The sequence below is a fragment of the Homo sapiens genome, chromosome 12 (assembly GCF_000001405.40).
Source record: "Homo sapiens chromosome 12, GRCh38.p14 Primary Assembly".
In the NCBI taxonomy this organism is placed as follows: domain Eukaryota; kingdom Metazoa; phylum Chordata; class Mammalia; order Primates; family Hominidae; genus Homo; species Homo sapiens.
In genome coordinates, this window is record NC_000012.12 from 55,869,703 (window position 1) to 55,883,575 (window position 13,873).

Below are 13,873 nucleotides of genomic sequence, written 5' to 3' on the forward strand. Positions count from 1 at the left end.
GAAGTCTCGCTCTGTCGCCAGGCTGGAGTGCAGTGGTGCGATCTCGGCACACTACAACCTCTGCCTCCCAGGTTCAAGCAATTCTCCTGCTCAGCCTCCCGAGTAGCTGGGATTACAGGCACGTGCCACCACACCCAGCTAATTTTTGTATTTTTAGTAGAGACGGGGTTTCACCATGTTGGCCAGGATGGTCTCAATCTCCTGACCTCGTGATCCACCCGCCTCAGCCTCCCAAAGTGCTGGGGTTACAGGTGTGAGCCACCATGCCCAGCCAGAAATTTTAATTTTAAAAAGTCATAGGCCTTTTGGAAGTTGTACATTTGTCTAAGCAATAACTAAAATTTGTTTCTTCTTTGGTTGTTGAGGTGTACTAAATTTAAAGAAAATAACATCTACACTTTCCACAGTATAATTTCTGCTTTGTTGTCTGTACTTTGCAGCAGGCTTCACTGCATTTTCAGAAACGTCCTCTTTAAAATTTTCATATTTCATTATGTCAGCCATACTGAATTCCTTTTCAAAATCTGTATGAATCTGTTCCACGGCCTGAGGAGCCTCCATCTCTTTGCAGATGGTCTACGTATGTACTTCATCTGGGCCTGCAGTGAAAAAGTGTTCTAGCAGGAGTACTGCAAAACCAGCCTTAATGATCTTTAGCAAAGTACTCTGTGTCATGTTCACTTTCAGATACTCTGTCTCTCTCAGTACTCAGTTCTTGCAACATGTGTTCCAAGGCCCCACTCAAAGTAATGACCAATACACCGGAGTCATACTTGTCCACCAACTCTTTATTTTTATCAAACATTCATTTTTCTTTCTAATGCAGACTTTTTCATAAAGATTAATCAAGTACACCACTGGTTTAGAAGTAAAAAATAAATATTTAAAAATACAATCTCTTTGTCCCAATCATGATAGAAACAATGATGTTTCTTTTGATCTATACCCAGGATTTGACTGCAAATTATATCATGTTTGGGGCTTGTGATGGTTAATACTGAGTGGCAGCTTGATTGGATTGAGGGATACAAAGTATTAATCCTGGGTATGTCTGTGTGGGCATTGCCAAAAGAGATTAACATTTGAGTCAGTGGGCTGGGGAAGGCAGATCCACCCTTAATCTGGTGGGCACCATCTAATCAGCCCCCAGAGAATATAAAGCAGGCAGAAAAACATGAAGAGGCGAGACGGGCCTAGCCTACCACCCTACATCTTCCTTTTCCTTTTTTTTTTTTTTTTGAGACGGAGTCTCACTCTGTTGCCCAGGCTGGAATACAGTGGCATGACCTCGGCTCACAATCTTTATCTCCTGGGTTCAGGTGATTCTCCTGCCTCAGCCTCCCAAGTAGCTGGGATTACAGGCATGTGCCACCACACCCAGCTAATTTTTGTATTTTTGGTAGAGACAGAGTTTCATTATGTTGGCCAGACTGGTCTCGAACTCCTGACCTCAAGTGATACACCCGCCTCAGCCTCCCAAAGTGCCGGGATTACAGGCGTGAACCACCACACCCAGCCCACCCTACATCTTTCTCCCGTGCTGGATGCTTCCTGCCCTCAAACATCAGACTCCAAGTTCTTCAGTTTAGGGACTCAGACTGGTTTTCCTTGCTCCTCAGCTTGCAGACAGCCTATTGTGGGACCTTGTGATTGTGTAAGTTAATACTTAATAAACTACTATATATATATACTATTAGTTCTATCCCTCTAAGAGAACCCTGACTAATATAGGGTCTTTTGTTTCTTTGAAGACAGGGTCTAATTCTGATTGCCCAGGCTGGAGTGCAATGGTGCAATCTCGACTCAGTTCCTCGAGTTCCCAGGCTCAGGTGATTCTCCCATCTCAGCTCCCCAAGTAGCTGGGACTACAAGTGTGTGCCCCGACACCTGGCTAATTTTTTGTATTTCTTTTTTCAGTAGAGGCAGAGTTGCGCTATGTTGCCTAGGTTGGTCTCAAACTCCTGGACTCAAGCAATCCGCCCGCCTCCGCCACTCAGAGTGCTGGAATTACAACTGTAAGCCACCGTGCCTGGCCTCAGGTTTTAATTTTTTATCTCCTTCACTAGTTTTCACTAAACTAGAAAAAGGCCACCTTTTCTAGTTTATCTTTAATGGGCCCAATTATTCCCTCATATTTAAGCCCTTCATGTATTAGTTTTTGTTGTTTTTTTTTTTGAGACAGAGTCTCACTCTGTTGCCCAGGCTGGAGTGCAGTGGCATGATCTCGGCTCACTGCAACCTCCACCTCCCAGGTTCAAGTGATTCTCCCAACTCAGCCTCCCGAGTAGCTGGTATTAAAGGCTCCTGCCACCACGCCCGGCTAATTTTTGTGTTTTTAGTAGAAACGGGGTTTCATCATGTTGGCCAGGCTGGTCTCAAACTCCTGACCTCAGGTAACCCACCTGCCTCAGCCTCCCAAAGTGCTGGGATTACAGGCGTGAGCCACCACGCCCGGCCTCATGTATTACTTCTATATCTCAAACAGGATCTATACTTTCTTTAACATGCATGATATCATTATCTTTGGAAGCAAGTGTTAGAGGGAAGATTCCATCACAGGCACTGATTTGAGATAAAAAAGCGTCTCCACGGCCGAAATCAACTCCTCTCACAAAGCCAGCAATATTCACTACATCTAGAAAGGCAGAAATTTTGCGTGCTAGTTTGTGGTCCTGACAAAGAAAGTCAAATCTTTCATCTGGCACAGGTACTCTCCTCTAGTTAGAATCAACAGTTTAGAATAGGAAGTTTACTGCTGAAGTCTGACTACTGGTTAATACAGTGAAGATGGCAGATTTCCAAACATTTGGCAATCCAGCAACACTAATTTTCAGTGAGATTCCAAATCTTCCAATAATTGGGAGTGGTTTAATTCCATCACCTCCCTTTTTGGGGGTCATCATCCTTGGGGTGGGCAATGATATGGGGTATCAGTGTCAGCGAGGGACAGGTCCTGCTGGCAGTCAGAGGTAGACAGGAAGGAAGAGAGAGCAGGCCTGGCCCCTCTGCTAAGTGGCATGCTGAGCAGTAGTCTATTTTAGGTCAATTTTTGTTCTTTAATTTTTTTCAAGATAATTTCTTTTCTTTACTTTTCTTTTTTTTGAAACAGAGTCTTGCTCTGTTGCCCAGGCTGGAGTAAGTGGTGCAAACTTGGCTCACTGCAACCTCCAGGTCCTGGGTTCAAGCGATTCTCCTGCCTCAGCCTCTCTAGTAGTTGGGACTACAGGCATGCGCCACCACGCCCAGCTAATTTTTGTATTTTTAGTAGAGATGGGGTTTTACCATGTTGGCCAGGCTGGTCTCAAACTCCTGACCTCAGGTGATCCGCCCATCTTCGCCTCCCAAAGTGTGGGATTACAGGCGTGAGCCACCGAGCCCAGCCAAGAGAATTCCTAAGACTAGCCATGACATGATTATGTGTCTTTCTTTTAATTTACTCTCATAAATACAAATAAGGCAATTATTTAGAATGAGAAATCTCTATAATCTTTTTTTTTTAATTGAGGGATCTTTCTGATTTCAGGGATCCATTTTTTGGCCACTGATTAGAATTGCCAATGATGCATTTATTCCAATAGTGACACAATCCAATAGTCTCTTCATGGAAAAACCATGATGTAATTTTCCAGGTTTAGAAAAAGAGGTGTTTCCTAGAGAGCAGTATAAAAGGCAATCCTAAAGATTTCCACCCAAAAATTCACTCCCAGGAATAGGCTGAGATAACAAAGACTCTTGTTGCCACAGACAGTTAAGAATGGTGTTTCTGCATACAGTTCCTTCGGTAACCCACAAATTTGTGGGGGGCGGGGAGCTGGCAGTCACAGACTCATTAATCTGTGACACTCAGTAGGCCCTCCTGGGATTGGATCTTCTCTGGATTAATTTGGCAACAGGGGTTGAAACAAAAAAAATCCCTTATGTGCCAGCCGTGGTGGCTCACGCCTGTAATCCCAGCCCTTTGGGAGGCCGAGGTGGGTGGATCACTTGAGGCCAGGAATTCAAGACCAGCCTGGCCAAAATGGTGAAACCCCATCCCTAGTAAAAACACAAAAATGAGCCAGGTGTGGTCGCACGCACCTGTACTCCCAGCTACTTGGGAGGCTGAGGTGGGAGAATCACCTGAACCCAGGAGGCAGAGGTTGTAGTGAGCCAAGATCAAGCCATCGCACTCCAGCCTGGGCGACTCTGTTTCAACAACAACAACAACAACAACAACAACAAATTCCCTTATGGATGGAACTTATTATTAAGACAAACTCTACTGAGAGCTTGACACATTCAGAACAAAAAGTTTGTTGCTTAAAATCTTACATATCTTGGGTTCCCAGCCATTTTCAGACTGGCGACCTGACATGGCCTGAAAATCACAGCCCCTCAGATGGCAGAAACTAAGAGAAAGTGCTCCCACTCGGTCACACATCAAGCTCTCAAGGACATAAAACAAGATGAGAGGGGAACTTCCCTGGGCTTATATTTTGGGGACCCACAGCAAAATTTATATGCCAGTCTGATCAGAACCACAAAACTGACCAGTCTGCAGGGTCAGCTTGAATAATGGGCTTCTGTGGTACCTCTCTTTATGACAGAGCAACACAGAAAGACAAAGACAAAGGAAAAAACTATTTCTTGGAGGAAAGAGATCAAACAATATGAATATTCATACCAAAAAGTACACCAGAATGGCTATACTCAAGATTTAGTCACACAAATTCTTTTCTCCCATTAGACTTTGCAGAGGAAAAAGGGACAAACAGTGATTTTTACCATCTGCCTGACAGAATTCCACAGAAAGAGAGGCTGCAAGCCTGACCGAGAAATTCTTAGCCTTCTTCTGGCTTGTCATGTACTGAGTTCCCTTCACTGTGGCTTCCAGAAGAGTGGAGCTTTGGTATTCTGTTCACAGTGCCAAAAGTGTAGGAGCCAATGGGAAACTTCCCCCTTGCTCACTGAAGTTTCACTGAAAAACCAACTCACAATACTTACCTGGCAGGGGAGATATCATGATCACAAAGGGGATTTTTCCAGGGCGAGGCTTCTTGTTTGCACTCCAGATGTGCTGACTCCTGCAATTTCCCCAAATGTGGGAAACTCAAGTAAACAATTTGTGGCAGTGGGGAACTGCATTTGCACTCTTCCCTGATGTTTTTCATTCCAAAAAGCAAGTCACTTGTTTTTGCAAATATATAATACATTTGTTTGTTTGTTTGTTTGTTTGAGATGGAGTCTCACTCTGTTGCCCAGGCTGGAGTGCAGTGGCACGATCTCAGCTCACTGCAACCTCCGCCTCCTGGGTTCAAGCGATTCCCCTGCCTCAGCCCAAGTAGCTGGGATTACATGCGCACGCCACCACACCCGGCTAATTTTTGTATTTTTAGTAGAGACGGGGTTTCACCATGTTGGCCAGGCTGATCTCGAACTCCTGACCTCAGGTGATCCGCCTGCCTCAGCCTCCCAAAGTGCTGGGATTACAGGCATGAACCACCGCACCTGGCCATAATTTTTAAGAAAAAATATATAAAAAGAAGAAAAAGAAAAATCATCTCACGAAAGGCAGACTAATTGGGGGAAAGCATACAAATTTATTAATGTGCACATGGGGGAAAACCACAGAATGATTACCCCACCTCCAATGTGGTGCAGAAGCTTATATACCATCTTAAGGTTACAGAAAGAATGGTGTCTTCGAGCATGGCCAAAAACGGACTATGGTGGTAAATCAGGTTATAGTGGCAAAACAGGTTATGGGAGGGAGAGAAGATGAAGCCTGGCTAGCAAGAGTGGTCTTGTTCTGCAAATGAAATCTCACAGGTAGCAGCCCTCAAAGAGGAATGATGGTAAATGTTTCCTTCAGACCTTTAAAGATATCAAACTCACAGTTAATCGTCTCTGGATCTGGACAAGGGAAGAGGTGGCTGAATCGATACAGATTCTCTACAGATGCAAATTTCCCCAACAAAAGACAGCTTTGCAGAGCTACTTCTATTTTCTGGCTCTCTGACAGCCATCTCAACATATGTTAAATAAATATATTTTGGGGTAAAATATTTTTATTTGTTTCAGTGTTCTCCACCAAAAAGAATTAAGCCAAGATAGAGGAAAATATGAAGGCCAGGAAATGAGATTCTACCCATGAGATGGGTGAAGATCATCGCTACAATGTGGCAAAGGGAAATTCCAGGATATCAACAATGTAGCAGGCCCAGTTCTGAGGCCTCAGCAGCCAGTCCCAACTAAAAGGCATAAAGGTAGGCCCCAGAGGGATGTCACCAAGGAGAAACAACGGAATCAATAGATTATCTAGGCAGCCACTCCAAATCTATTCTAGAATCTTCGAGTTCTGGTGGGCTGCCTGTAAAAAGGAAACGAAAAGAAAGAAAAGAAAAAAAAAAGATTATCTAAGGATTCTAGGAAGATGGCAGAGTGGGAAGCACTGGGAATCTGTCTCTCCACCTACACAATAATTGCACTGGCAGAATCTGTCTGGTGTGAACTGTTTTGAAACTCTAGAGTCTATTGAATGCTTGCAAATTCCAGGGCAGGGCTTGGACTGTAAATTGCAGCTACTTTCAGTCAATTTCAGCTCTCTTAGCACAGTAAATTTTTTCAGCCCTTAGCCACCCATTCCTCACACCTCAGCTGCAGGCAGCTGTGCCTGTGTTCCTGGAACAGCTTGCCACAGTTTGCAGAGCCAGGTAGACAAAAAAGGATCTTACTTTCCAAATATTGGTTATCTATGCTCTCATAATTGATTGCTGCTTCTGGTCACAGAACTACAGAAAAAGAGTTGGGTGCCCTTGTTTTTTTACTTCCTTCCCACTCCCCTTTAAATCCTTTAAAGCCAGCACCCTTTCCTCTTGCCACACTTCATTTTTCTCTTTTTCCCCTTTTGGAACCCAGTCATTAAAGACTTGGACATTCAAAAACAACTACATATGTGGGGAAAAATTAGAAAATGACCATGCATGCACAGAGAAAATCTCAGAAAAGAGCTGAGAAGGAAGACCCTAAGTTCACATCTCAGGCCAATCCTCAGAACAGACACAGCCTACAATAATTAAAAAATTAAAAAGTTGGCCAGGAGCGGTGGCTTACGCCTGTAATCCCAGCACTCTGGGAGGCCGAGGCGGGCAGATCACAAGGTCAGGAGATCAAGACCATCCTGGCTAACACAGCGAAACCCCGTCTCTACTGAAAAAAAAAAAAAAAAAGCAGGCTGGGTGTGGTGGCTCACGCCTGTAATCTCAGAACTTTGGGAGGCTGAGGTAGGTGGATCACGAGGTCAGGAGTTCAAGATCAGCCTGGCCAAGGTGGTGAAACCCCATCTGTACTAAAAATACAAAAAAAATTAGCGTGGCGTGGTGGTGGGCACCTGTAATCCTAGCTACTCGGGAGGCTGACTCAGAGAATTGCTTGAACCCGGGAGGCGGAGGTTGCAGTGAGCCAAGATCACACCACTGCACTCCAGCCTGGGTGACAGAGCGAGACTCCATCTCAAAAATAAAATAAAATGAAACAAAAAAGCGATCAACAAAAATAATATCTAAAAACAGCAAACTCTCAGGGAGGGGACAGAATCTAATTTCCAGAGTTACCACATTATTAGATTCAAATGTCTAGTTTTCAGTGAAAAATCAGAAAATATACAAAAAAGGAAGGGCCCAAAGGAAAAACATAAATCAATAGGAGCTGTCCCAGAAAAAGACGTGATGACAGATAAACTAGACAAAGACTTTAAATAAACTATCATTAAGATACTCAAAGAACTAAAGGAAGATATGGACAAAGTGAAGAAAATGAGGCATAAACTAAATGGAAATATCAATGAAGAGATGGAAAATTTTAAAAGAAACCAAAAAGAAGTTCTGGAGCTAAAATTACAATAACTGAAGTAAAAATTTAACTAAAAGGCAGTTTGAACAGGCAGAAAAAAGAATTAGGGAACTTGAATAAAAGACAAAGGAAATTATCAGGTCTGAGGAACAGAAAAGAAAATTATTGAAGAAAAGTGAACAGAGCCTAAGGAACCTGTGGGACACCATCAAGCAGACCAATATATACATTGTGGGAATCCCAGAAGGAGAAAAGAAAGTGAAAGGGACAGAGAATATTTAAAAAAACAATAGCTGAAATCTTTCCAAATTTGATTTAAAAAACATGAATTTGAACACCCAAGAAGCTCAAAAACTCTAAGTAAGATGAACTTGAAGAGATCTACATGACAAATATTATAATCAAACTGTCCAAAGACAAAGAGAGAAGCCAAAAGTAATAAGAGAGAAGTGACTCATGACATACAAGGGATCTTCAGTAAGATCATGAACAGATTTCTCATCAGAAACTTTAGAGGCCAGAAGGTAGTTGCCAGATATATTCAAAGGAAAAAAAAAGTTCAACCAATAATTCTATATCCAGCAAAACTATCCTTCAAAAGTGAGGGAAAAATTAAGATATTCTCAAATAACAAAGCTGGAAAAGTGAGGAATAAATTAAAATATTCTCAAATAACAAAGCTGAGGCTGGGCATGGTGGCTCACACCTGTAATCCCAGCACTTTGGGAGGCCGAGGAGGGCGGATCACGAGGTCAGGAGCTCGAGACCATCCTGGCCAACATGGTGAAACCCCATCTCTACTTTTACAAGTAGAAGCCCTGTCTCTACTTTTTGTATTTTGTAAAAATACAAAAAAATATTAGCTGGGCGTGGTGGTGGGCGCCTGTAGTCCCAGCTACTCGGGAGGCTGAGGCAGGAGAATGGCATGAACCCGGGAGGCGGAGCTTGCAGTGAGCCAAGATCGCGCCACTGCACTCCAGCTTGGGCGACAGAGCAAGACTCCGTCTCGGAAAAAAAAAAAAACAAAGCTGAGAGAGTTCATTACCATTAGACCTGCCCTGCAAGAAATGTCCAAGGGAGTCCTACAGGGTGAAATAAAAGAACACTAGACAGTCACTTGAAGCTGTATGAAGAAACAAAGATCTCAATAAAAGTAAATACATGGGGCCGGGCGCGGTGGCTCACGCTTGTAATCCCAGCACTTTGGGAGGCCAAGGCGGGCAGATCACGAGGTCAGGAAATCGAGACCACGGTGAAACCCCGTCTCTACTAAAAATACAAAAAATTAGCCGGGCGTGGTGGGGAGCGACTGTAGTCCCAGCTACTCAGAGAGGCTGAGGCAGGAGAATGACGTGAACCCAGGAGGCGGAGCTTGCAGTGAGCCGCGATTGCGCCACTGCACTCCAGCCTGGGCGACAGAGCAAGACTCCGTCTCAATAAAAAAAAAAAAAAAAAAAAAAAAGGAAATACATGGGGACAGGCACAGTGGCTCATGCCTGTAATCCCAGCACTTTGGGAGGCCAAGGTGGGTGAATCACTTGAGGTCAGGAGTTCGAGACCAGCCCGGCCAACATGACAAAACCCCGCCTCTACTAAAAATACAAAATTTAGCTGGGCATGGTGGCATGCACCTGTAATCCCAGCTACTTGGGAGGCTGAGGCAGGAGAATCACTTGAACCTGGGAGGTGGAGTTTGCAATGAGCCGAGACTGCGCCACTACACTGGAGCCTGGGCAACAGAGTGAGACTCTGTCTCAAAAAAAAAAAAAGTAAAATACATGGGCAATTATAAAAGATAGCATTGTAGCAATGGTTTGTAACTACTTTTTGCTTAATACACGATTTAAAAGACAAACACATTTTTAAAAAACAACTATTAGTCTAAAAGATAGTATTATTGTAACTTTAGTTTGTAAATCCACATTTTGTTTTCTACATCATTTCAGAGAGTAATGCATTTTAAAGAATTATTAATTTATGTTGTGGGACATATAATGTATAAAGATGTAATTCTGGCCGGGCATGATGGCTCATGCCTGTAATCCCAGCATTTTGGGAGGCCAAGGAGGGTGGATCACTTGAGCCCAGGAGTTCAAGACCAGCCTGGGCAACATAGTGAAACCTCGTCTCTACTAAAAATACAAAAATTAGGCCAGGCATGGTGGCTCACGCCTGTAATCCCAGCACTTTGGGAGGCCAAGGTGGGCGAATCACTCGATGTCAGGAGTTCGAGACCGCCTTTGCCAACATGGTGAAGCCCTGTCTCTAATAAAAAAATACAAAAAAAATTAGCTGGGCATGGTGGCGAGCACCTGTAATCCCAGCTACTCAGGAGGCTGAGGCAGGAGAATCGCTTGAACCCAGGACCCAGAGGTTGCAGTGAGCCGAGATCCTGCCACTGCAGCCTAGGCAACAGAGTGAGACTCTGTCTCAAAAACAAAACAACAACAAAAAAACAAAAATTAGGCCAGGTGCAGTGGCTCACGCTTGTAATCTCAGCATTTTGGGAGGCCGAGGCAGGCGGATCACCTGAGGTCAGGAGTTTGAGACCAGCCTGACCAACATGACAAAACACCGTCTCTACTAAAAATACAAAAATTAGCTGAGCGTGGTGGCACGTGCCTGTAATCCCAGCTATTCAGTTGGCTAAGGCACGAGACTCGCTTGAATCGGGAGGCGGAGGTTCCAGTGAGCCGAGATTGTGCCACTGCACTCTAGCTTGGGCAACAGAGTGAGAGTAGGTCTCCAAAAAAAAAAAACAAAAAAAAAAATTAGCTGGCTGTGGTGGCGGGCGCCTATAATCCCAGCCACTCAGGAGGCTGAGGGAGAAGAATCACTTGAACCTGGGAGGTGGAGGCTGCAGTGTGTGGAGATTGTGCCACTGCACTCCAGCCTGGGTGACAGAGGGAGATTGGGTCTCCAAAAAAAAAAAAAGTAAAAAAAAAAAAAAAGATGTAATTCTGTGACATCAACAACTGAAAGGGGTGGGGATAGAGCTATAAAGGAGCAGAGTTGCCAGGCACAGTGGCTCACGCCTTTAATCCCAGCACTTTGGGAGGCTGAGGCAAGAGGATTGCTTGAGCTCAGGAGTTCAAGACCATCTTGGGCAACATTGCATGACCTCATTGCTGGGCGCAGTGGTTTATGTCTGTAATCCCAGCACTTTGGGAGGCTGAGGCAGGCAGATCACAAGGTCAGGAGTTCAAGGACGGCCTGACCAATATGGTGAAACCCCGTCTGTACTAAAAATACAAAAATTAGCTGGGCGTGGTGGCCTATGCCTGTAGTCCCTGCTACTCAGGAGGCTGAGATAGGAGAATCGCTATAACCCGGGAGGCAGAGGTTGCAGTGAGCCGAGATTGTACCACTGCACTCCAGCCTGGGTGACAGAGTGAGACTCCGTCAAAAAACAAAAAACTTTAGAATGCTAAATGTCATCCCCATGGAAACCACAAAAAAATAGCTATAGAATGTACATGAAAGGAAAGGAGAAAGGAACTTAAACATTTCACTACCAAGAAACCAACCAAACACAATTCTAAATAGAAAACAATACTGCCCAGTCTGGGCCTAATTAGGAGAAAGAAACCACACAGTAATTTGAACAAAAAAAGTTTAATATACCAAAGGGCAGAAAAGAAACTGTGATGCCACACCCTCAGGACTTGCTGGAAGTCTGCCCTGTAATGTGTCAGAGAAAACTATTCATGAGAAGATGCCTCACCTTTTGCTACAAAACCATCCAAGAAGGGGAATGCCATGGAAACTGCTGAGCTCTGGGCACTGCTTGCCACCATGCACTGCAGGAGCCAGGCACTGGAGAAGCCTTGCAAAATGCCGGAGCACATCAGAACCAGGAAACAAAAGACCTTCCTCCTGTAATGTCTCTGCAGTGCTCTCTTCTGATAAAGCTTCAGTGCCTACTGGCAAAGGAAAACTACTCAAAGCATCCCCATTCATTTCTTTTTCTTTTTCTTTTTTTTTTTTTTTGAGACGGAGTCTCGCCCTGCCACCCAGGCTGGAGTGCAATGGTGTGATCTCGGCTCACTGCAATCTCTGCCTCCCAGCTTCAAGCGATTCTCCTGCCTCATCCTCCTGAGTAGCTGAGATTACAGGCGCACGCCACCATGCCCGGCTACTTTTTGGATCTTTAGTAGAGATGGGGTTTCATCATGTTGGCTAGGCTGGTCTTGAACTCCTGACCTCGTGATCCACTCACCTTGGCCTCCTGAAGTGCTGGGATTACAGGCTTGAGCCACTGCTCCCTGCCATACCCCCATTCATTTTTACAGAGCAGGCCAAAAGGGTGAATTTGGAGCTAAGAGACAAAAAAAAATCAATAACCATCTCGGGGTTGACCTCTGTTGATTATCTTTTCCCTTGATAATTAGTCATATTTTCCTGCTTTATGTGTGTGTTGAAGACTTTTGGACTATGTCCTAGACATTGTGAATGTTATGTTATACAGACTCTGTTTGTTATATTCTTCTTAAGATTGTTGATGTTTCTTTCTTTTTATTTATTTATTTATTTATTTATTTATTTATTTATTTATTTATTGAGATGGAGTCTCACTCTGTTGCCAGGCTGGAGTGCAGTGGCACGATCTCAGCTCACTGAAATCTCCACCTCCCAGGTTCAAGTGATTCTCCTGCCTCAGCCTACCGACTAGCTGGGATTACAGGCGCATGCCACCACACCCAGCTAATTTTTTTGTATTTTTAGTAGAGACAGAGTTTCACCATGTTGGCCAGGATGGTCTCAATCTCCTGACCTCATGATCTACCCACCTTGGCCTCCCAAAGTGCTGTGATTACAGGGGTGAGCCACCACACCTGGCCAGAGTGTTGATGTTTCTGTTTGTGTAAAAAATAGGTTCTCTCTCACCTATGGTGGTGGGTGGTAGCTCGGATCTCAGGGTAAAATTTTAAGGCTGAAATTATTTTAGCCTTAACTGCCAGCTTCTCTCAGATCAGCCAGAGACTTAGTATTTATAAGCAGATTTGGGGGCCCCCATTTCCTGGTTTTCTTCTTTCTGGCATTGCCTCCTCACTTTCCCATGACTGTGTGTGCCCTGAGCTCTGAACTCTGGTTCTTCAGGCCAGACAGATGGTGGGTTTTTCATCAAAGTTTTAGCTGTCTCATTTCACACCATGATGTGGTATGCCCTTAGTCTAACAACATACAAATGGGAAACTCACCCTGGACCAAGTCCTTCATCCAACTTTCAACTCTCCTCCTAAATATGCCTGCTTTGGCTAACTCTCCAGAGCCTTCAGGTCGTTGTTTTGTTTTGTGTCCTCAGTTTATGTTGTTATCTGCAGAAAGGTAGGGCTGTTAGAAATTTCACTATTCTGGAAGAAGAAACCACTATACCTTTGTTGTTTTTATTAGTAAAGAAATTGCCTATTAAGAAGTAAGTTATAAACATCAATATATAGTGGGTCATAACAGAGCTAGGCAAAGCTATCAATTAAGGAAATAGAACAGTCCCCAGGCTAGAACAAGATGAAAAAGAAAAACTAAGCCAACCAAAGTAGTTTTGTAAGCCATGGAAGCATCAAAAAGCAGAGCCACAGACAGGCCAGGCACGTTGGCTCACACCTGTAATCCCAGCACTTTGGGAGGCCAAGGCAGGCAGATCACCTGAGGTGAGGAGTTCGAGACCAGCCTGGCCGACATGGCGAAACCCCATCTCTACTAAAAGTACAAAAATTAGCCGGAAGTGGTGGCGGGTAGCTGTAATCCCAGCTACTCAGGAGGCTGAGGCCGGAGAATCGCTTGAACCTGGGAAGCGGAGGTTGCAGTGAGCCGAGATTGCGCCGCTGCACTACAGCCTGGGCGACAAGAGCAAGACTCCGTCTCAAAAAAAAAAAAACAGGCCAGGTGTGGTGGCTCACGCCTGTAATCCCAACACTTTGGGAGACCAAGGCAGGTGGATCACCTGAGGTCAAGGGTTCGAGGCCAACCTGACCAACATGGCGAAACCCTGTCTCTACTAAAAATACAAAAATTAGCTGGGCATGGTGGCGGGCGCCTGTAA

General features: G+C 44.5%; 1 non-coding gene and 2 pseudogenes across 1 annotated transcript; 1 reads left to right on the plus strand and 2 right to left on the minus strand.

Moving 5' to 3' along the window:
* Positions 1-324: 324 nt before the first annotated feature.
* On the minus strand, positions 325-1,013 carry OLA1P3 (OLA1 pseudogene 3; annotated as a pseudogene).
* RN7SL676P (RNA, 7SL, cytoplasmic 676, pseudogene) lies at positions 1,239-1,517 on the minus strand (annotated as a pseudogene).
* On the plus strand, positions 4,976-5,139 carry LOC124903120 (U1 spliceosomal RNA). Its single transcript, XR_007063652.1, has one exon. It is a non-coding gene; the product is annotated as a U1 spliceosomal RNA (small nuclear RNA).
* The last annotated feature ends 8,734 nt before the right edge of the window (positions 5,140-13,873 follow it).